At 54.7% G+C, this 21,394-nt stretch overlaps 3 protein-coding genes across 6 annotated transcripts, besides 5 other annotated features; 2 read left to right on the forward strand and 1 right to left on the reverse strand.

Moving 5' to 3' along the window:
* Positions 1-1,771: 1,771 nt before the first annotated feature.
* Positions 1,772-8,297, forward strand: SCGB1C1 (secretoglobin family 1C member 1). 2 transcript variants are annotated; one of them, XM_005252804.4, is made up of 4 exons: positions 1,772-1,833; positions 6,753-6,876; positions 7,434-7,633; positions 8,140-8,297. In XM_005252804.4, exons 1-4 carry the CDS (start codon positions 1,774-1,776, stop codon positions 8,170-8,172), a joined length of 417 nt encoding a protein of 138 aa, XP_005252861.2. In that variant the 5' UTR covers positions 1,772-1,773; the 3' UTR covers positions 8,173-8,297. The 2 variants fall into 2 exon arrangements, with proteins under 2 accessions (XP_005252861.2, NP_663626.2); NM_145651.3 differs by lacking the exon at positions 1,772-1,833 and having other exon boundaries at positions 6,800-6,876.
* A 2,185-nt stretch (positions 8,298-10,482) lies between these two features.
* Positions 10,483-13,980, forward strand: CIMAP1A (ciliary microtubule associated protein 1A). 2 transcript variants are annotated; one of them, NM_053280.5, is made up of 7 exons: positions 10,483-10,768; positions 11,019-11,135; positions 11,283-11,483; positions 11,921-12,022; positions 12,186-12,307; positions 13,091-13,231; positions 13,666-13,980. In NM_053280.5, the coding sequence occupies exons 2-7, from the start codon at positions 11,027-11,029 to the stop codon at positions 13,753-13,755; spliced, it is 765 nt and encodes a 254-aa protein (NP_444510.2). In that variant the 5' UTR covers positions 10,483-10,768; positions 11,019-11,026; the 3' UTR covers positions 13,756-13,980. The 2 variants fall into 2 exon arrangements, with proteins under 2 accessions (NP_444510.2, NP_001273065.1); NM_001286136.2 differs by lacking the exon at positions 13,091-13,231.
* Positions 13,981-16,645: 2,665 nt separating this feature from the next.
* BET1L (Bet1 golgi vesicular membrane trafficking protein like) lies at positions 16,646-21,121 on the reverse strand. 2 transcript variants are annotated; one of them, NM_001098787.2, is made up of 4 exons: positions 21,025-21,121; positions 19,674-19,765; positions 19,333-19,389; positions 16,646-19,191 (listed from the first exon to the last, which is right to left on the reverse strand). In NM_001098787.2, the coding sequence occupies exons 1-4, from the start codon at positions 21,041-21,043 to the stop codon at positions 19,024-19,026; spliced, it is 336 nt and encodes a 111-aa protein (NP_001092257.1). In that variant the 5' UTR covers positions 21,044-21,121; the 3' UTR covers positions 16,646-19,023. The 2 variants fall into 2 exon arrangements, with proteins under 2 accessions (NP_001092257.1, NP_057610.2); NM_016526.5 differs by having other exon boundaries at positions 16,646-19,389.
* Positions 19,537-20,036: an enhancer, noted in NCBI's record as "H3K4me1 hESC enhancer chr11:205815-206314 (GRCh37/hg19 assembly coordinates)". NCBI's record gives its function as "activates a minimal SCP1, AML or CMV promoter by ChIP-STARR-seq in naive H9 embryonic stem cells {active_cell/tissue: H9 hESC(naive)}" and the evidence as "EXISTENCE:reporter gene assay evidence [ECO:0000049][PMID:30033119]".
* Positions 20,347-20,848: an enhancer, noted in NCBI's record as "H3K27ac hESC enhancer chr11:206625-207126 (GRCh37/hg19 assembly coordinates)". NCBI's record gives its function as "activates a minimal SCP1, AML or CMV promoter by ChIP-STARR-seq in naive and primed H9 embryonic stem cells {active_cell/tissue: H9 hESC(naive and primed)}" and the evidence as "EXISTENCE:reporter gene assay evidence [ECO:0000049][PMID:30033119]".
* Positions 20,347-20,852: a biological region, named in NCBI's record as "H3K27ac hESC enhancer GRCh37_chr11:206625-207126".
* Positions 20,793-20,852: a silencer, noted in NCBI's record as "silent region_2985". NCBI's record gives its function as "represses an Ori minimal core promoter by ATAC-STARR-seq in GM12878 lymphoblastoid cells {active_cell/tissue: GM12878}" and the evidence as "EXISTENCE:reporter gene assay evidence [ECO:0000049][PMID:35858748]".
* Positions 20,963-21,082: a silencer, noted in NCBI's record as "silent region_2986". NCBI's record gives its function as "represses an Ori minimal core promoter by ATAC-STARR-seq in GM12878 lymphoblastoid cells {active_cell/tissue: GM12878}" and the evidence as "EXISTENCE:reporter gene assay evidence [ECO:0000049][PMID:35858748]".

A 21,394-nucleotide genomic window follows, 5' to 3' on the forward strand; every position in this document is an offset into this window, starting at 1 on the left:
GTTACTGAGAATAGTGCTAATGCCCTAAGACCGGAACCCTAAAATGGTAGTTACTGAGAATACTGCTAATGCCCTAAGACCGGAACCCTAAAATGATAGTTACTGAGAATAGTGCTAATGCCCTAACACCGGAACCCTAAAATGATAGTTACTGAGAATACCGCTAATGCCGTAAGACCGGAAACCTAAAATGATAGTCACTGAGAATACTGCTAATGCCCTAAGACCAGAACCCTAAAATGATAGTTACTGAGAATAGTGCTAATGCCCTAAGACCGGAACCCTAAAATGATAGTCACTGAGAATACTGCTAATGCCCTAAGACTGGAACCCTAAAATGATAGTTACTGAGAATACCGCTAATGCCCTAAGACCGGAACCCTAAAATGATAGTTACTGAGAATACCGCTAATGCCCTAAGACCGGAACCCTAAAATGATAGTTACTGAGAATAGTGCTAATGCCCTAAGACCGGAACCCTAAAATGATAGTTACTGAGAATACCGCTAATGCCCTAAGACCGGAACCCTAAAATGATAGTTACTGAGAATACCGCTAATGCCCTAAGACCGGAACCCTAAAATGATAGTTACTGAGAATACCGCTAATGTCCTAAGACCGGAACCCTAAAATGATAGTCACTGAGAATAGTGCTAATGCCCTAAGACCGGAACCCTAAAATGATAGTTACTGAGAATAGTGCTAATGCCCTAAGACCGGAAACCTAAAATGATAGTTACTGAGAATACCGCTAATGCCCTAAGGTTTTAGTCACACCCTCACCTAGGCAGGAACCCAACCAAAAGGGGAGAACTGTGGAACAAACTACGGGAGGTCATTGTTTCGGTCACCACTCCCGCACTAGGCCACACTGAGCAGGCAAAATCAGAATGGAGACACTCACGCTGAATGACACACAACGAAGCTGAAACTCTAAGGAAGTAGATAGATCCCAAAAGAGCTCCCTTTTTCCCTGAAGAGATTCCAGTCTACCTGAGTCAGCATAAAGAAGTCCCCTCTGCTTTAATTCTTACCAAAACAAGTAACTTGAAGTAATCTGATATTAACAAATCAGTTGTTATTTTCTATTGCTCTATTTCCGCCTTACACAACACAGTGTTCTGCTATTGCCCAGAGGGCACTGAGACCAAATAAAACTTGAAAATGCCACACTGAAAGCAAATAAGTCCTAATAACTCAATTTACAACGACAACAAAGAGTGACACCAATGCCCAAAGTTTTGATCAATATCTCAAAATTGAGAGGCTGACCAAAAGGGAGGAATTCTTACATCAAACAACATTTGGGCTCTGGAAGCCTCCCGAGGAGTCCTTGTAAAGAGTCGCGGCCGGGCGCCGTGGCTCACGCCTGTAATCCCAGCACTTTGGGAGGCCGAGACGGGTGGCTCATGAGGTCAGGAAATCGAGACCATCATGGCTTACAAGGTGAAACCCAGTCTCTACTAAAAAAAAAAAATACAAAAAAATTAGCCGGGCTTGGTGGCGGCAGCCTGCAGTCCCAGCTACTCGGGAGGCCGGGACAGGAGAATGGCGTGAACCTGGGAGGCGGAGCTTGCTGTGAGCTGAGATCGCGCCACTGCACTCCAGCCTGGGCGACAGAGCGAGACTCCGCCTCAAAAAAGAAAAAAGAAGAAGAACAAGAAGAATCGCAACCTAATTTAGTATAGAAACAAACTGAAAATCTGACTTGGGAATGTATCATGGTAACAAATAGCGGCGGTTCAGCCAATCACATCAGCCGAGTGTCAGTCAATGGCCGGCAGCCAGCTGTTCAAAACAAGTTCCAAGAAGGCAAATCCGGGCTGTAACCAGGTCTGTAACCAATCCAGCCACCTCTATACCTCACTTCTGTTTTCTGTATGTCACTTTTTTCCTCTGGCTATAAATATAACCCGCACATGTTGTGTGGCAGATCATTCTGAACCATTTTTGGTCTGGACTGCTGCCTGATTCTAGAACCACAAAAAAAAGCCAATTAAGATCTGCAAACCCACATTTGTTGTAATTCTGTATTTTAACAGTTGTGCCCTACAAAAGACATTAAGCTGAAATTAATTAAAAATCATTTACGGTCATGATTAGGTCATAAAAAATTGTCAAACATAACAATTCTTCAAAAAAAGCTAAAAAGTATATTTTAAAAATATTGTTGATGGAAAAAAGAGTGCAAAAGTAGATAGGAAAATTATGTACAAAACTAAAAACAGAGGAGAAATTAAAAGTCAAATAATTGCATCAAACTGGAAACCTAGAAAAAATGGGTGATTTCCTAGTAAAAATACACATTAACAAAATGGGCCCTGAAATAAGGCAACTATGAATATACCAATTAGCATAGAAAAGCTAAGAAAGGTCCTTAAAGATCTCCCAGTGGAAAAAGGCCCCAGGACCATCTGGGTCCATAGCTTAGTGTAAGCTGACTTAACTAAATGTGATTTTACACTCGTGCATTGCATACATATGATGGTGGTCCCATGACATAAAAATGGAGCTGAAAAATTCCTTCCTAGCCATCTTGTCATAAGCTCATGGCTCAACGCATTACCTTTTCTCTGTTCTGATACCATGAAAGGAAAATAAATCTCAGGACCCCCAAATCACTAAGCCAAGGGAAAAGTCAAGCTGGGAGCTATGTCAGGCAAACCTGCCCTCATTCTATTCCTAACTAAGATAGCTACAAAGATAAAAAGCTACATACCTCACTCACAATTTGCCCACAAAGAATTTCCTTTTGGACAAAGGACAGACAGCACTCAAAGTCATCCCTCACCTGAGACAGATGCATATCTGATTGCTTCCTCTGCCCTATTATTTATGTAAAAATGCAGATTCATTGAGCCAGACTAAATTGTGTATTCAGTGGAAGGCTGATGAAGGATTCAAAAGAATGCAACCTTTTGTCTCTAACCTACTTCTGACCTGGAAGCACCCCCACTTCCTGCTTCCAGTTGTCCCGCCTTACTGGGCCAAATGACTGTACATCTTACACGTCTCATGTATCCCTAAAATGTACAAAAGCAAGCTCTACCCTGGCCACCTTGGACACACGTCGTCAGGACCTCCTGAGGCTGTGTCATGGTCGTGTCCTTAATCTTGGCAAAATAAGCTTTCTAAATTGACAGAGACGCGGCGCGCCGGCGCAGGCGCACAGAGGCGCGGCGCGCGGGCGCCGGCGCACAGTGGCGCGTCCCCTGGGGGGCGGGGGGAGGCGCGGCGCAGGCGCAGAGACGCACGTCGTTAGGCTGTGGGTTTGGGGGGAGGTGGGTGGTGCAGACGCAGAGTCACGCGCCACCGGGACGAGAGCGCGGGGGTGGAGCGTTGTAGGCGCAGAGACGCACGTCCTCGGGGGCGCGGCGCAGAGACGGGTTGAACCTCAGTAATCCAAAAAGCCGGGCTCGGGCGCCCCCTGCTTGCAGCCGGGCACTACAGGACCCGCTTGCCCGCGGTGCTGTCCCAGTGCGCCCCCTGCTAGCGACTAGGGCAACTGCAGGGCCCTCTTGCTTACAGTGGTGGCCAGCGCCCCCTGCTGGCGCCGGGGCACTGCAGGGCTCTCTTGCTCGCAATATAGTGGCGGCACGCCGCCTGCAGGCAGCTAGGGACGTTGCAGGGCCCTCTTGCTCACAGTGTAGTGGCAGCACGCCCGCCTGCTGGCAGATGGGGACACTGCCAGGCCCTCTTGCTTGCAGTGTAGTCGGGGCACGCCCTCTTCTGGCCGCTGGGGGCACGACAGGATCCTCTTGCTCACAGTGTAGTGGCAGCACGACCCCTGCTGGCAACCAGGGCACTGCATGGTCCTCTTGCTCATGGTGTGGTGCCCGTACGCCGCCTGCTGGCAGCTGAGGACACTGCAGGGCCCTCTTGCTCACAGTGTAGTCGTCGTACGCCCCCTGCTGGCAGCTGGGGACACTGCCGGACCCTATTGCTGTCGGTGTCGTGGCAGCACGCCACCTGCGGGCAGATGGGGACTAGGCAGGGCACTCTTGGTCCCGGTGTGACGGCCTCCTGCACCACTAAAGTCAGAGCGCCAGTTATTAAGCCCCATCAGTTCTGTAAATTCAAACTGAAACGGAGCTATTATTGGGGAGAGCTGATGTCCCAGTTCTTGTTTAACTTGGAAGAAACATTTTCACCAAGAGGCAATACAAAGATGGCAGATAACTTCATTGAAAAGAAACACAGTGTAAAGAGTTTATTGTAGAAAAATAGGGAGGAGTGGGCTGAGCGTGCATTAAAACAGCCTAAGAGTCCTGTGCAGGGAATTTTATTTTGGATTTCTTCACATTCCTGCCTCTGTCTCAAGTCTCCACCTGTTTTCTTTGTCTGGTTTTCCTGCTACTGCCTTAGCTCCCCAACTTGCCCCACTTAGGCTTGTGGGACCTCCTCACTGTTGGTTGAGGTACATGTGTGGTGATCAATACGAATCCACTCTGGCACCAGCCTCCTTCCCGCCATCCCAGGCACACTGACAGCGATCACGTTTGTACCTACTGCGCCTGCCTCTTTTGAATGTCCTTCTCTGCCCTAATCTGTACTTATGGTGCCAGGTTTCTCTTAAGAATGTCCCCTTTGGCCTTATCAGCATGTAGCTAGCAATATTCTGACATTTTTATTGCAGAGTGAATGATTGGGGCATCTTCAGAGGAGTTCTAGGGTGTTTCTTTCTGCATAGGTACCTCTTTTCCCTCCTACCCACAATTGACAAGTGCCCATCCACTCCAGCACTAGAGATGCTACTAATATGTGAATTTTTGGTGGTCCCTCCAGGTGAGCCTTCCCAGACTTTCCCTTTTCCAGGAGGCCCCCTCCTGTTCATGTCTAGCTACCTATCTACTCTAACAAAGCCCACTATCCTGTGTCTTTCCCAAAAATAGTGAGGGAACGATTAATTGGAAACCATAAGAAATGATATGGATATAGACGAAAACTTTACAACTTACACAAATAATCACTCAAAATCATCCTTACACTAAAAATGCAAAACTATACAATTTCTAGAAGAAACAATAGAAGAAAAGCTATCTGCCTTTGGGTTTGGTAATGAATTTTAACAAATGACACAAAAGGTAGATATACACAAAAGAAGTGACAGTGTGGATTTCTTAATATTTAAAGTTTATACTCTGGAAGAGACCTTGTTAAGAGAACAAAAAGACAAGCCACATATTGAAGAAAATATTTGCAAAATACACATCTGAGAAAGAATTTGTCTTCAAAATATATAAAAAATTATTAAAACTAAACAATAAGTTAAACAGCCCAACTAAAAATGCACACACATCTGAACAGACACCTCACCAAAGAAGATCTACAGATGGCAAGTAAACACATTGAAACCACAATGTGGTTACAATTGAAAACCACAATGAGATAGCACAGCTGGTCTATATCTGTTAGAATTGCTAAACTCTTTTAAAAATGACAAATTGCTGAAGGAAAAACAAGAACTCTTTTCATTGCCAGTGGAACACAGCGTATAAGACCAAAATACGCCACCCCAAAACCTAACCCTAACCCTAACCCCTAACCCCTAACCCTAACCCTAACCCTAACCCTAACCCCTAACCCCTAACCCTAACCCTAACCCTAACCCCTACCCCTAACCCCTAACCCTTACCGGTGACCCTACTGTATCCCTGACTCCTAACCAACGTTGATCCCTAACCCTAAACCCCTTACTGTAACTATAATCTTCATCCCACCCTATCCCTAGCCTTAGTGCCATCCCCCAGGCTTTTTCCAGGATGGGATTTTATGTGATTGTTTCGAATAGGTGGAAATCTCTGCTCATTTAGGAGTCGTTCAATGTAACAAGGATCTTGGTCTTCACAGAGACCCTAAACGCGTGTGGCCCAGGGCCATGTGGATGCCATCAGCCACTAGGTGGCAGCAGGGGCCCTTTGGATTTGAACAATGCAGCTCAGTCAGAGGGCTGGACTGGGACACCCCTACTCATGGTCTCTCTTGGCATGGTTTTGTTTGGTGACTCCAGGTGTCCCAACCTCCTGTGTCCATTGTAATATGTCCTGGGACCATCTCCCCCAGGGCCTTCAACCTGGGGGGTTGAACCCCAGGATAGCAACCCCAAGCCCTCCTTGCTATCCTGGCTACTGATGGAAGATGTACCTCAAGCCTGTCCCATTCCTCACTTCCTGCTGAGACCTGGCCCCAACATGGCCAGCTCTATGTTCCTCAGACCCTCTCAGGCCACCTTCTCTCTTCTAGGCACTGTCACTGGGCTTCTCCCCACCCCATAGATCCACAGCCCCCAGGTAGTCCTACAGCTGTGTCCACTCGTGCAGCCTGCACCCCCTTCCCCTACTCGGCCACCCCATCTGAGTAGTAAGGGGCCCCTGCCTGATTGGAGACCCCCAGATGCAGACCCAGATCACACAGCACACTGATAAGAGGAGGGATTCGCACCTTAAAAGAAAGGCGTGGGACCAACCCCAGATCCCACCACTCTCGGCCTCAAGGGCAGGCATGACTAGAGGCCCTTGGTGGCCAGGACCCACTGCCTTCTTCACCGATCAGTTGGCATGGCCTCTCACCAGTGTTCCCTCCTAACACACCTGTTCTCTCTCTCACACACCCTAAAGCCGCTTGCCAACCACCTGTCACACAGCCACTCCATGCCTGTTGCTGCTTGGCACCCACTGGGGGCCAGGGATGTGAACAAACCTCATCTAAGCTGGCTGCCGGGTCCTAATGGGCAGGTCCGGTCCGCCCTCTAGGAGAGGTGCTGTCCGGTGAGGCATAAAATCCCGGGATTCTGGCTGGAGGCAGCTCCTGAGACTGCTGGCATGAAGGGGAGCCGTGCCCTCCTGCTGGTGGCCCTCACCCTGTTCTGCATCTGCCGTGAGTCTGTGCCACTGGGGTTTCCAGAACATTCAGGGGTGGGGGGGAGTGGGGGGTACCTGAGAAGGTAAAATCCTGGCATCGGGCCTCTGCAGTGAACACTCCACCTGCTTCTGTCACAGAAGTGGGCAAGGACCCTGCAGAACCCGCGCCCACCCTACTCCACCCCAACCAAGGACAAAGCCCAGCTGACCCAACACCAGCCCAGTGTCTCCTACCCCAGCCCAGTCCAGCCTGACCTGACCCTTCAAGCCTCTGGTCATAATAGCCTCTCATCAGGGGAAATTTCCCCCACACCAGGAGCTTAACTTTCCTTCCCTGGTGATCCCAGGGAATGCTGAGTGGAAATTGGAGCAGCTAAGATTAAGGGGGATGTGGAGGGGTCTTCGGGCAAGGTGGAGTTGGAGGTGTTGTGGAGGAAGCCCTGGGGAGGAGAGGTGGGCATTGAAGGGGAAGGTCTGGAGACCATGGAGGTTGGAGCCCTGGGGCAGGTCCAGGGCTGTGGTTGCACCAGAGTCACCCTGTCCTGTCCTGGCATCATCTCGCTCGTGATGCAGGGATGGCCACAGGGGAGGACAACGATGAGTTTTTCATGGACTTCCTGCAAACACTACTGGTGGGGACCCCAGAGGAGCTCTATGAGGGGACCTTGGGCAAGTACAATGTCAACGAAGATGCCAAGGCAGCAATGACTGAACTCAAGTCCTGTATAGATGGCCTGCAGCCAATGCACAAGGCGGAGCTGGTCAAGCTGCTGGTATGAGGGCGGCGGGCACCCCATTTTCTAAAGATCTGCAGCCTTACCAAGACCACCCAACACAGCACCCACACAGCCTACCCCACCCACAGACATCCACCACCCACAGACATTGCACCCGCATCAGCCAGCTCAGGTGGACACCCCAGACCTCCTGTCCACCGAGCAGCCCCCAGACTCCATAGACCTCCTCCCCAGTCTGTGGGATACTCCTCCATGCACACATGTGAACATACACAGAGATCCAAACACAGGTGCAGACATGAAATGTACACTGCGTGCACACATGTATAAACACGTTCACACCCACATGCTCACACTGGGATATGCACACACATACATGTGTGCACACCATCACATGTGCACACACACCTCCCAGCTGCTGGGAGGAGATAGGCAGCAATATGCCAGACCCCCCCCCACTGAGGGCCTTGCTTGCCTGATGGAGCTGTGGCTCTCCACTTATTGAGCACAGCCCTCTTAGTCCACATGTGTCTGCCTTCCAGGTGCAAGTGCTGGGCAGTCAGGACGGTGCCTAAGTGGACCTCAGACATGGCTCAGCCATAGGACCTGCCACACAAGCAGCCGTGGACACAACGCCCACTACCACCTCCCACATGGAAATGTATCCTCAAACCGTTTAATCAATAAAGCCTCTTCCGCAGCTCAGGCTCCTGTCTCTGCCCCCACAGAGGGGCACACAAATGGGGACATCAGGAACACACTCGGGGCCACAGCCACACACACAGACCCACATACAGAGGATCCCACTCAAGGAGCACACGTGCGAAAGTCCCCACAGAGGGACACACAAATGGGGACATCAGGAACACAGGGCCACAGCCACACACACAGACCCACATACAGAGGATCCTACTCAAGGAGCACACGTGCGAAAGTCCCCCACAGAGGGACACACAAATGGGGACATCAGGAACACAGGGCCACAGCCACACACACAGACCCACATACAGAGGATCCCACTCAAGGAACACACGTGTGAAAGTCCCCACAGAGGTACACACAAATGGGGACATCAGGAACACAGGGCCACAGCCACACACACAGACCCACATACAGAGGATCCCACTCAAGGAACACACGTGTGAAAGTCCCCACAGAGGTACACACAGGGTCCACACAGGAGCAGGCACACCACAGGCAAGACCCAAAATGGAAATCCAGGCAGACGCCACGTAGGCAGGTGGACAGAGCACAGAGCCAGACAACACTGCGTGGTCGTCCGGAGGGGGCGTCTGGAGGGGGCGTCCGGAGGGAGACGGGCGGCAGAGGCAGCGGTATGAGGTGGGAGCCCCAGAAAGAGGAAGTGTCCAGGACTGGGTGGACACAGACCCCATGTCGCCCATGGGCTAGGTCAGGGCGGGGGTGCTCAGCATCTGAAAGCTGGTGTCGAGCCCCAAGAGGACCCCTGACAAGGCCAAGAAAAAGGTACACCCATGTCCAAGGGGGTTGGGAGCCGCAGGTGAGCAGCCTCTGAGGTCAGCCAGGGCAGCCCCAGCGCCCACACTGACTCACACCCACCACAACCAGCACAGACCCTGATCCTGACCCTGGATCCCAGACTCTCCCACAGCCAGAACCTTCCAGCATTTCAGCTGCCCAATCTATGGTCTCTTCTGGGGGCACAGCTGAGTGGAACCGCCCCATCCTTGGCCACCCTGGGTGCTGAGCCCTGACACTTCACTGCCCCGGCCCTCCTCTCCACACCTCTGTCCTGTCTGAGCCTGGCAAGGGGGCCATGCGGTGCTGTCGGCTCTGTGCTCTGTCCCACCTGCCTACATGGTATCTGCCTGGATTTCCATTTGGCTGAGGGAGCCCTAGGGAGGGGGCCCTGGAGGACTTGGTTACAGGGGACCTGGTGAGGGGACCCAGTGAGGGGGACTTCATGGGTGGGTGCCTGGTTGAGGGGACCTGGTGAAAGAAACATGGTGAGGGGGCCTGGTGAGGGGTGGTCTGGTGAGGGAACTTAGGGAAACCTGGTGAGGAGGACCTGGTGAGGGGACATGGGGGGGACCTTGGTGAGGGGACCTGGTGAGGGGACATAGGGGGACCTTGGTGAGCGGACCTGGTGAGGGGACATGGGGGGGACCTTGGTGAGGGGACCTGGTGAGGAGGACATGGGGGGGACCTTGGTGAGGGGACCTGGTGAGGGGACATGGGGGGGACCTTGGTGAGGGGACCTGGTGAGGGGACCTGGTGAGGGGACATAGGGGGGGACCTTGGTGAGGGGACCTGGTGAGGGGACATGGGGGGGACCTTGGTGAGGAGGACCTGGTGAGGGGACATGGGGGGGACCTTGGTGAGGGGACCTGGTGAGGGGACATGAGGGGGACCTTGGTGAGGGGACCTGGTGAGGAGGACATGGGGGGGACCTTGGTGAGGGGACCTGGTGAGGGGACATGGGGGGGACCTTGGTGAGGAGGACCTGGTGAGGGGACATGGGGGGGACCTTGGTGAGGGGACCTGGTGAGGGGACATGGGGGGGACCTTGGTGAGGGGACCTGGTGAGGGGACATGGGGGGGACCTTGGTGAGGGGACCTGGTGAGGGGACATGGGGGGGACCTTGGTGAGGGGACCTGGTGAGGGGACCTGGTGAGGAGGACATGGGTGGGGAGCCTTGGTGAGGGGACCTGGTGAGGAGGACCTGGTGAGGGGAACATGGTGAGGGGAACATGGTCAGGGGGACTTATAGGGGTGTCCTGTTGGGGGGACCTGGTGGTGAGATCTGGTGAGGGGATCAAAGGCAGAAGCCATTGTCTTGGTCACATAGACAGAATCTAGAACCTGTCATCCCACAGAGCCACATTCTAGAGTTTAGAGTGGGGGACCTCTCCCCAATTCTGTAAGCCCATGAGGAGAGAGGAAGGCCTTTCTCTCCATGCTCCTTTTGCGGGAACTCCCTGGCACCAAGGCCAGGGGGGAAAGGACAGTCTCTGATGAGGATGGGTCTCTAGGCTGCTCTGAGTGCTGTCCCTGCACTGAAGAAGTTATAGTTCCCTCCCAGGCGGCCCCCTCCCTGCCCCTCAGCTCAGCCTCAATCAAGAAGTTCCCCATCTTTGACCACTCCAAGTAGGAGAAACCGGCCCAGGGCTCCCTTAGAGCCGAGAACAGTGGTGAGTTAAGGGCCAGCATGGACAGCAACTCTGGGTTACAGTTAAGCTGGTGAGGAGCTCACAGACCCATGCAGAAAGCTCCTACTGTCCCTGACTCCTGGCTCCCAGCTGGAGATCCCCACTGATGCTGCAGCAGGTTCCGCAGGTCTTACCCTTCAGTGTCAGCAAGAGCAGGGTCGGGGACATCAGGGGCCGGCATGGGACAGGGCCGGGCCTCCCAGCACCTGGTAACCCTCTCACTTACGGACAGAGCTGGCCATGACGGAGGAGGTATGGATGGGTACCTGGAGGCCCCATCGCCCCCGGGGACCCATCATGGCCCTCTACAGCAGCCCTGGACCCAAGTACCTGATTCCACCAACAACAGGTAAGAGCCTGAGAGACTGTGGGAGAGGGTCAGGAGCCAGGCGGGCAGGTGGGGGTCCCGGGAAGGGCCTGGGGCTCAATCCCTGACTCCCAGCGGGGAGAAGGGCAGGTCAGGCTCCGGGCTGCTCAGGGCCCATTGCGTCCACAGGCTTCATGAAGCACACGCCCACCAAGCTGCGTGCACCGGCCTACAGCTTCCGTGGGGCCCCCATGCTCCTGGCAGAGAACTGCTCCCCAGGGCCCCGTTACAATGTAAACCCCAAGATACTGAGGACTGGCAAGGACCTTGGCCCTGCCTACTCCATCCTGGGGCGCTACCAAACCAAGACCATGCTGACTCCTGGTCCAGGTTAGTGACCCTGTCTCAGGCTCCTGCCCTGCGCAGCCTCAGGCCTGCCCCTCCCTGCTGGGTGCCCCTAACCTCATGTCAGCAAGGGTGTGGGAGAGCTCAGCCATCCTGGCCCCTCCCGTCCCATCTTTCTCTCTTGAGGGGTCACCATCGTGCCTGGGCAGAGAAGACTCTGGCCCAAGAGTCCAGCTCCGACCTGGACCTTTCTCTGCCAGGCCGACGTCAGACCCCACTCTCCCTGCTCAAAAATAGCCTTTGTCTCACCAGCCCTGAAGTCAGCATTTCCATCCTGGACACCCCCTGACCCGACTTGGTCACCACCTGTGTTGGAGCCCAGAGGCCCCACGCCTAGAATGTTGGGGAGTCCTCCTTGAGCCCCCAAACTGGGCTGCATACCCACCTGCTTGTCCCAGCAGCCCCCTTGGCTCCTTGTCCAGGTGACTACTTTCCAGAGAAATCCACCAAGTACGTGTTCGACTCAGCACCCAGCCACTCCATCTCTGCCCGGACAAAGGCATTCCGAGTGGACAGCACCCCAGGTCCGCAGCAGCCCCAACCATCCTCAGCCAAATGGACCTGGGGATCCTGGGTGGGGTGTGTGACATGGGGCAGCCCGACGGCTGATCTCCAGAGTTGGGGGAGAGCCCCAGGGAAGGAGCAGTGGGCCCTGTTCCGGCCTGAGGCTCCACGTCCACCCTGCAGGCCCCGCTGCGTACATGCTGCCCATGGTAATGGGGCCCAATACCGTCGGCAAGGCCTCCCAGCCCTCCTTTTCCATCAAGGGCCGCAGCAAGCTGGGCGGCTTCAGCGACGACCTACACAAGGCAAGGGCCACCCCAACTGAGAACAGAGAATCACCCCCAACCATCTGAACCCTCCCCCGGAACCCAGGACCCACCAGTTCGGCCCTGCCTTGCCAATGCCCCTCAGCCCCCTCAGCCCTTCACCCTCTGGGCACCTGCCACGTGCTGGGGTTACACTGCAGTGGTGAGGAGGGGCAGGCAACAGGCCAGAAGGGAGACGCCCTGGCCCCAGCATGGACCGTGCTGAGGACAAGAGATGGGGTTTAGGAAGCACTGTCTGGAGAGAGAGAGGCAATCTTAGATAGGGTAGCATGGAAAGAAGAGGAGGAGGAAAAAATAAACCATGAGCTATTTGGGGGAGGAGGGTCCTGGTTTCAGAAACAGCCAGTGCAAAGCCCCTGGGTGGCACATGCCTGAGAGCTTGAGGGGCCTGAGATGGGGAAGCAGCATCATGGCACCCAACAGCCCTCGTCCATGTTGATTTTGCCAGCCCCAGGCCCTCAGGTCCAACAGGGCAGCAACAGCCTCTCTCACACACGCTCAGCGATGTTCCCAGGACTGGCACACACTGGGGATGCCATTGCCAGCGTGAGGCTGAAATGGAGGAAGTGACCCCCACATGAGGTACCCCACAAGCAGTGGGGTGTGATCTCCACAGTGTGACAGAAGACAGAAGGGGACCTTGATGCACGGGCACCAACTTGTAGCTGACCCTGTTGACTCAGAGCCTGAGTTTGCTCCCTGTCCTCTAGGGCCACACGCCCTGGGTAGGCCGAGTTGGTCTGAGCCTCCTTTACCTCTCAGACCCCAGGTCCCGCAGCCTACCGCCAAACTGATGTGCGGGTGACCAAGTTCAAGGCTCCGCAGTACACCATGGCTGCCCGTGTGGAGCCCCCAGGGGACAAGACCCTCAAGCCAGGACCAGGCGCCCACAGCCCTGAGAAGGTCCAGGAAGAGCACAGCTCAGAGGGGTCAGGGTGGGGCAGGGTCCTGGCCCAGAGGGATGTGTAGGAAAGAGCAGGGAGGGGGGCTGGGACACAGACGAGGGGAAACAGGGTCAGGCTATGGAAGGACACAGCCAAGAAGGGGTGGAGGGGTGGGGTGGGGATGGGAGGCACCTGCACCCTGAGGACCCTGTACATTTCCAGCACTAGGCCCACAGGTAACCCTTCAGGGACATGGAAGCAGAGACCCTGCCCTTTTCCCTAGACACTGTGACAGCTACTACTGCTGAGTGCTCTGTGTTCAAACCTGGGAGCATAGCTTCTGGCCACCTTGGCCCCAGGTTCAGGAAGGACAGCAGCCCAGCCCCAGCCAGGGCAGAGACCTGCAGGTGGGGGCAGGGGTGCTGGTTCCTATCATAGCCCCTCCTCTCCCAGGTGACCCTGACCAAGCCCTGCGCCCCAGTTGTCACCTTCGGCATCAAACACTCTGATTACATGACTCCCCTGCTGGTTGATGTGGAATAACGCCAGCCCTGCTGTGCCCCATCACACCCGGCATCTACACAAGATCCGCCGGGCCACAGAGCTCGAGGCTGTCTTCACCAGCTGGGCTGGGCCAGCCTGGCCCTGCAGGGCAGAGCACGCTTGTTTGGGCAATTGTAATCAGTTACTTTTTTTCTATGCTATTTTACCATTTTTTAATCTTGTTTTCTGCTGTGCCCAAATTATTAATAAATCAGATTGCATTAATAAGGGTTTGTCTTGGTGGAAGGATCAAGCATTTCCAGAAAGGAGCCCCCGTAGGCTGTCAGCACTTGCCCACAAGGGGTCCCATCCTGCCTTCTAGGGCCCAGGGTCAGCTTGGTGAGATGGGAGGGCCCAGGGTCTGTGTGGGGAGAGATGGTAGGGCCTGAGTACCTCAGACACCCTGCTCCACACTGTCCCTCCTGATGCTTTCTGCCTTGAACCCAAAGATGGCCACACCTGTGCTCATCACCTCTGAGCAATGCTGGGTCCCTTCCCTTGAATCTGGACTATAGCCTGTGGGTGTCCTGAGTAATGAGGTATGGCAGAAGTGATGCCACCAGGCTCCTGAGGCCACGCACACAACATACCAAGGAAACAGCTTCCGCCTGGACACCAGAGCCCACCCCACCCCCACCCTTCTGCCACGTGTCCATGTTTGCTCCAGCACCAGCCATCATGTTGTGAGGAAGCTCAACCATGGCGAGACTGAATGCACCATCCCAGGCAGTCGGCCCGGCCACAGGCAGTCGTCAGCCCGGCCACAGGCAGTCAGCCCGGCCAGGCCCTCCACTCACCAGCACTGACCTCTGGACCTGTGAGTGAGCCTTCAAGTGAAGGCAGCCCCAGGACCACATCTCCCAGTGAGGCCTCGACACTGTAGAGCAAAGACAGCCAACCCTGAAGCGTGCCCCGTCTCAAATTCAATGAGACATGATAAATCATTGCTATTTTAGGTGAAGTTTTAGGGTGACCTGTTACACATCAATGGGTCATACAGGGAGTACAAGGAAGACATGGACAGGGAAGGTGGGGTATCCGCTGGGCCTGAAGAGGAGGATTTCCAGAGGCTGCCCAAGAGTCCAAGGCCAGGCCTCAAGAAGTGGAGTCTGGATTTCAACTCAGGCTTTCAGGGAGGTCACTTTAGGACGGGTGACCTCAACAGACACACTGGTAGGACCATCACCTGCACCTGTATAAAGCACAGTACAACTGCTGACCTTCACTTCGCTGTGATCGTGCCAGGCTGTGTATTCGAAGCACTTCATGTTTACTCTCTTTTTTTTCTTTTTTTTTCTGAGACAGAGTCTCGCTCTGTCGCCCAGGCTGGAGTGCAATGGCACAATCTCAGCTCGCTGCAACCTCCGTCTGCCAGGTTCAAGCAATTCTGCTGCCTCAGCCTCCTGAGTAGCTGGGATTATAGGCACGTGCCACCACACCCAGCTAATTTTTGTATTTTTAGTAGAGACGGGGTTTCACCATGTTGGTCAGGATGGTCTCGAACTCCTGACCTTGTGATTCACTCACCTTGACTTCCCAAAGTGTTGAGATTACAGGCATGAGCCACCGCGCCCGGCCAACTCACTTATTCCCTAAGTGGTGATGCTATCAGGATCCCCATCTGCGTTTCAGGAACTTGGGCAGGGAAGGGTAACACAGCAGGAAGTGGGTGAGTGTGGGGCAAAGATCAGACTGTTACTGTGCCTACCTAGAAAAGGAAGACAAAAGAAACTCCATCTTGATCTGTACAAAGAAAAATTGTTCTGCTTTGAGATGCTGTTAACCTGTAACGTTAGCCCTAATCCTGTGCTCACGGAAACATGTGCTGTATTAAATCAAGGTTTAAGGGATTTAGGGCTATGCAGGGTGTGCCTTCTTAACAATATGTTTGCAGACAGTATGCTTGGTAAAAGTCATCACCATTCTCCATTCTCTATTAACCAGGGACACAATGCACTGCGGAAAGCTGCAGGGACCTCTGTCCGAGGAAGCCTGGGTATTGTCCAAGGTTTCCCCCAACTGAGACAGCCTGAGATACGGCCTCGTGGGAAGGGAAAGACCTGACCGTCCCCCAGCCCGACAACCGTAAAGGGTCTGTGCTGAGGAGGATTCGTAAAAGAGGAAGGCCTCTTTGCAGCTGAGATAAGAGGAAGCCCTCTGTTTCCCGCATGTCCCTGGGAACGGAATGTCTTGGTGTAAAGCCGATTATTCGATTATTCGTTCTATTCTAAGATAGGAGAAAACCACCCTGTGGCTAGAGGCGAAATATGCTAGCGATGATACTGCTCTGTTACTCTTTGCTATACTAAAATGTTTGGGTAAAGAGAAACCTAAATCTAGCCTACGTGCACATCCGGGCACAGTACCTTCCCTTGAACTTATTTATGACACAGATTCCTTTACTCACGTTTTCCTTCTGACCTTCTCCCCACCATCACCGTTCTCCCTGTTCTCCTGCTGCACTCCCCTTGCCAAGATAGTGAAAATAATCATCAATAAATACTGAGGGAACCCGGAGACCGGCACCAGTGCGGGTCCTCCCACGCTTAGTGTGCCGGTCCCCTGGGCCCACTGTTCTTTCTCTATACTTTGTCTCTGTGTCTTCTTTCCTCAGTCTCTCGTCCCACCTGACGAGAAATACCCACAGGTGTGGAGAGGCAGGCCCCTTTCAGGTGAGTCTGTGGCTGCTCTGCCCAAAGTCAACCCTGATGGGGTGAATGAGGGAAGGGGCAGGGTTTACAGCACCTGTGCTCATGGCCAGCCACGGGGTGAATGAGGGAAGGGACAGGGTTTACAGCACCAGTGCTCATGGCCAGCCTGTGGACCAGGGTGAGCTCCAAACAAAATTCCCTCAAATCCCAAGGAAATGAGGACGACAGAGACCATATGATTAGTTCTTCATGAGGTTATGTTTACTACAAATTTTTATTGTTAATGTTTCTCATCCTGAAATTATGGGATACAGCCTAGCAGTTTGTCCTCACTTGGCAGAGTAGGTAACCCTGGCTCTCACACTGAGCCCCCAAGAGTCCTTTTGGTTTTACTGGTGTCAGGGATTACAGTCAGCAAACCCCACTCATTTACAGGGTCAGGTGTACAGGGCTGAGCTGGAGGGTTAGGGTCAGGGCCCCTCAGGAAACTCTGGTCTGGCACAGCAGCAGCAGGGATGCCACTCTCCCTTTGTGGAATCCTTCTTAATACAAGAGTGAGAAGCAGAAGAGCAAACCACAAAGGAATTCCAGCTCAGACCCCAAAGTACCTGGGAGAGCTGCAAACAGCCATGGAGATAAGAGAGGCGGGGAGGGAACACAGTGACTGAGTCTGAGAGACAGCAAAGCACCTCTCCAGCGAAAGCCACTCCGAGATGCAGCCTAACTTCCTAGTTTGCATCAGCAAGATGAGCAGGCACCACCATGGAAAGAGCACCTGGGGTGTAGCTGGTTACCACAGCTCAGCCACATTCCCCAGAAACGGAGGTCAGCCCTCCATGGCCCAGGAAAACATGGGGGATGAAGGGTTGGCACCTGCAGTGACCAGATGGAGATACAATGCAGGCAGCTGCTACCATGCTTGGTGACCAGGGTACAAGCCCCTGATGAGCTTGCCATGGCAGCCAAGGACACTGGTGCCGGAGGAACGACAGGGGCCTGCAAAGGGACATCCGAGGAGGGGGAAGCAAGCTGGGAGCAAGACCAGCCCAGCTAGGTTTCAGGGCAACAGCAAAGCCCCAGAGACATGGAGGCAGATGAGTCAACCTTGCTGGGTGAGAAGTGAGCTTGCACTGCATAGGGCAAGAAGAAGGTGGACCCCACTCCTCCAGGAGGCTGACAGTCTCAGCCAGGTACAATGGAGGGTCCAGGTCACAAGGAAGGGGGCTATGGTGAGCATGGATGGAGAAAGGTAGGCTTGCTGTGTGGAAGGAAGGAGGAGGGGAGGGGAAGGGTGAGCAAAGTGGGGCTGCAGGCATCAGGCTGTGGCTGATCTGTGGTCAGCCTGGAGCTCAGAGGCAGTTCTGGATTGACAGGACATATGGTGTGGCCACACAGGTGGGGGGACAGTGATCCCATAGTCCCCAGGGAGTGACTGGGAGGCAGAAGATTGGAACAGGACAGAGAAGGGCAAAGAAGCACATGGCTCATGCTTTAAAGGTGTTTTTATGCCAAGACAAGGGGGCGAGGACCTCATCTTGAGGTGGGAAGAAGTCGTTGCCCTGCCAGTCCAGTGGTTTGAACATGAATCCAGCCCAGTGGACAGGGAAGGCCCAGGGAGAGGTGGGTAGGGAGGGCATCCTGCAGAGGCTGGGGACAAGGAGGATGGCACAGAATGCCATCACAGCCAGGGGAGTCTGGCAGGGCTTGGCGGAGGCGCCAAAGTTACCAGCAAGCTAGAAGGCAACAACTGATAGCCCTCACAGGAACCTTCTTGTGTAGACCCACAGAAGCTCCCTGGCCCTGCCTGCTTTGCCTGACTCTGAAATGCCAGACAGGCCCATTTCTAGGTCTGTTCTCCTGAAAATACATCTTTGGTGCTGGGTAGATCCTGAATCCTGAGAATACAAGTTTCTGCTCCTGGATACACAGTCACATGACCCAGAAGATCCCAGCCCAGTGGCTAGGCCAAGGCTGCAGTCCACTCCTTCATCCACAGCCCGTTCTCCCCAAGGGTCTCACTTCATCGAAGGCGCAGATAACACAGTAGGGTGGCCTCCACTGGTCTGCCCATGCTCAGCAACCATGGCCAGGAGTAACTGCCATCTCCAGGGTGAGAAGCCTCGGTCGGAGGAGATGACACCCACTTAGGGTTCACAGCCCCTTCCTGTGTCAGTTCCAGGAACCTTGGATCACAGACATGGCCTCACCCAGACAAGGACACGACCGTGCAGCCTTAAGATGTCAGAGTCCCAAGCGCGGGGAGAAGGGCTGCAAGCCACAGGTGGCCACGTCTGGGATTCACCAGCTGCTCTGCTCAGACCTGGCTTCTCCAGACACGCTGTGGCCCCAGCTCTGCCTGGCTCTCTAGCACCTGGGGGAGGGGGGAGGGGCTGGGCCTTGGTTTCCCCGAGAGAGTCCCTTTCACACATGGGACCAGCCAACATGAGCTCATCAGGTCACAGGCAGCCGCAGCCTCCTGCCACACAGGAAGAAGATTCCTGACCCACAATTATCATTGCAAAGGAGTATTTTGTAGGTAAGTCCTCTGGAGCCCAAAACACCAGGCAGGGAAGACCCTGGCTGCCCTTGGCACCCACAGACACCAGCTCCCACTGGCTCACGTCCTTGCCCTGGACAAGAAGTAGGAGAGGATGAAGAAGGCCACAATTAGACCCACGGCCATGCCACATAGAAGCTTCCGGTTGTCTTGTCCGGACCTTGCCATTGTGGAAAAGCGCTTCACGCTCCCTGTAAGCAGGCTGGTCATGCTTGTGAAATCCGAGTCCTAAGGGAGGAATCCCAGCAAGATCACACAGAAGTGGTGATTTGACCACCCACCCGCACCAGTGCTGAAGGAGACACTGCAGGCTCTGCAGCAGGTAGTGCTAGGGCAGGGCACTGATACACGCACACCGTGGGCCCTTACCATGCCATCCAGGTACCGGTTCTGATCCTCTGCATCCCTATCGATGTCCAGGGCGAGCTGTTCAGCAGACAGAGAGGGCAGGGTTGGGCCAGAGCAGACACATAATACAGCACTCACCCTCCCCAGACCAGATAAACCCTGCCAACAACTCTGCCAGACACAGTGGGGCTGCAGCAGACAGAAAGGTCCAGGTGTCAGCTGGGGCCTCATGCAGGTGAGCACAGCCACGAATTGGATGAGGATGGAAAACTGCCTGAAACTCCTCTGGGCCCTCTGCCTTCCCTCTGATCCCCATTCCCCAAAGGCACCAGGTGGAGGTAAGAGGACAGACCACCACTGACCGATTTGAGCCTGGTGACTTTGGAGGCCAGGCTGTCAGCCATTCGCTTGTTCTCCCGGTCTAGAATCTCTTCCACAGCGCCCGGGCTCTGAGCTGAGAAAAGAGAGGGGCTGAAGGGTTGCATCCATCGGTGAGCACGGCCCCTGACCCCTCTCACTCCAACCACATCTGGGTGAGTCAGAAATCTAGGGGGCCCTAACCAAGGTTCCAGCAGGTGAATCTTGCACATGAGACAGGCTGCATAAAGGACGATGTGTGTAAGGGCCTGTCATGTGAACACATGTCCTGTGTACACATCAAGGTGGGGATGGGCAAGCACCCACAATGGGTTCGGTCCAACCAGCACCTTCTGAGACTGTGTAGCAAAAACTGGACCCAGCCCTGGGGTGCTAGTATGATGTGACACTTGCATCCAGGGAGGTCACCATCTGTGTATGTGGAGCCCATTCTTATAGAAAAAGAGTAAACTCTGCTAAGAGCATAGAAAAGACTTGGGAAAAGTACCCAGCAAGGCAGCAGAAAGGCTCCTGCAGAGACGACCTTTGAGCTAGGTCCTGAAGAGGTGGCAAGGAACCAGGACAGAACATTGGGAAGGCCCTTTACCGCACAGAAAATGGCTGAGCAAAGTTCCCAATTTCCCCGAGACGGGAGCTGAGGTCGACCAGGAGCGGGATCCTTGGTCTGCATCCCGCATGGGGCTTCCTGCAACACCCAGGGCAGAGTGCTCGCAGAGGCCTGGCCTGTGACAGGCTGGGCCAGGGGATAAGGAAGTTCTGTCACATCAGGTGCGTGAGAACCACCTCCTCCCTAGCTTCAGTGTCAGGAAGGGATGCCAGCGTCCTTCCAGCCACTTCATATTTATAAATTCCTTTAATCATCATAACACCTCACAGAGACAGGCATCAATATCCCACTTTGCAGACAAGAACACGGGCTCCAGGAGGGGAAATGGGGCCACCGAGGCCAAAGTAAGAGTCCTGCTTGGACACCAGCGGAGCACAGCCTCTACTCCTAGGGCCTGGCCTCGGGACCTGTCGAATGCCGACTCCCGCTCACCCCGAACCCATGCAGAACGATCTCACAGGGGGCGGCGGGGAGTGGGGAGACCCCGCTGCTGCGCGACCCCTCGCTGGAGCTGCTGGGCCGCCACGCGCGCCTTCGGTCCTAACGGCAGTGCCGGCCGAAACCCGGCCCTGCTCGGACCCGGAAGGATCCGAATCCGCCCCCCTGACAGGGTCCTCTCGGCCGAGGTCACCCCAGCTGGGCCAGAGGCAGGCGCACGCGGCTCTACAGGCAGCGGCGTCGGTTTCGGCCCGGCCCTGCCCCCAACGGCTCCGCTCTCCCGCGCTCACCCCGAGCCCAGTCCGCCATCGTGCCCTGCCCCGGCTCCTCGACGCGGACACCGACGCGGCCACAGCCGCCTCAGACGTGGCGCAGTCGCGGGGAAAGAGCTTCCGGCCCCGCCCCCAGCTAGCGATGGCCCCGCCTCCGCACCGACCACGCCCCTAGATAGCCCAGCCCCTTCCGCTTCGGGCTCGCTGACTTCCGGCTTAGGGCCGAGGGTGGGGAACTGCCGGGCGCGGAAGCGATGGGCATATCTGTGGCTTATTTTCAGCACTGTCGCGCAGACAGTGGCGCGATCTCAGCTCACTGCAGCCCCCGCCTGCCGGGCTCCCAAGGTGCTGGGATTACAGCAGCACCGCGGATGTGACGTTTGGTGTT

The sequence above is a fragment of the Homo sapiens genome, chromosome 11 (genome assembly GCF_000001405.40).
Source record: "Homo sapiens chromosome 11, GRCh38.p14 Primary Assembly".
Lineage (NCBI taxonomy): Eukaryota > Metazoa > Chordata > Mammalia > Primates > Hominidae > Homo > Homo sapiens.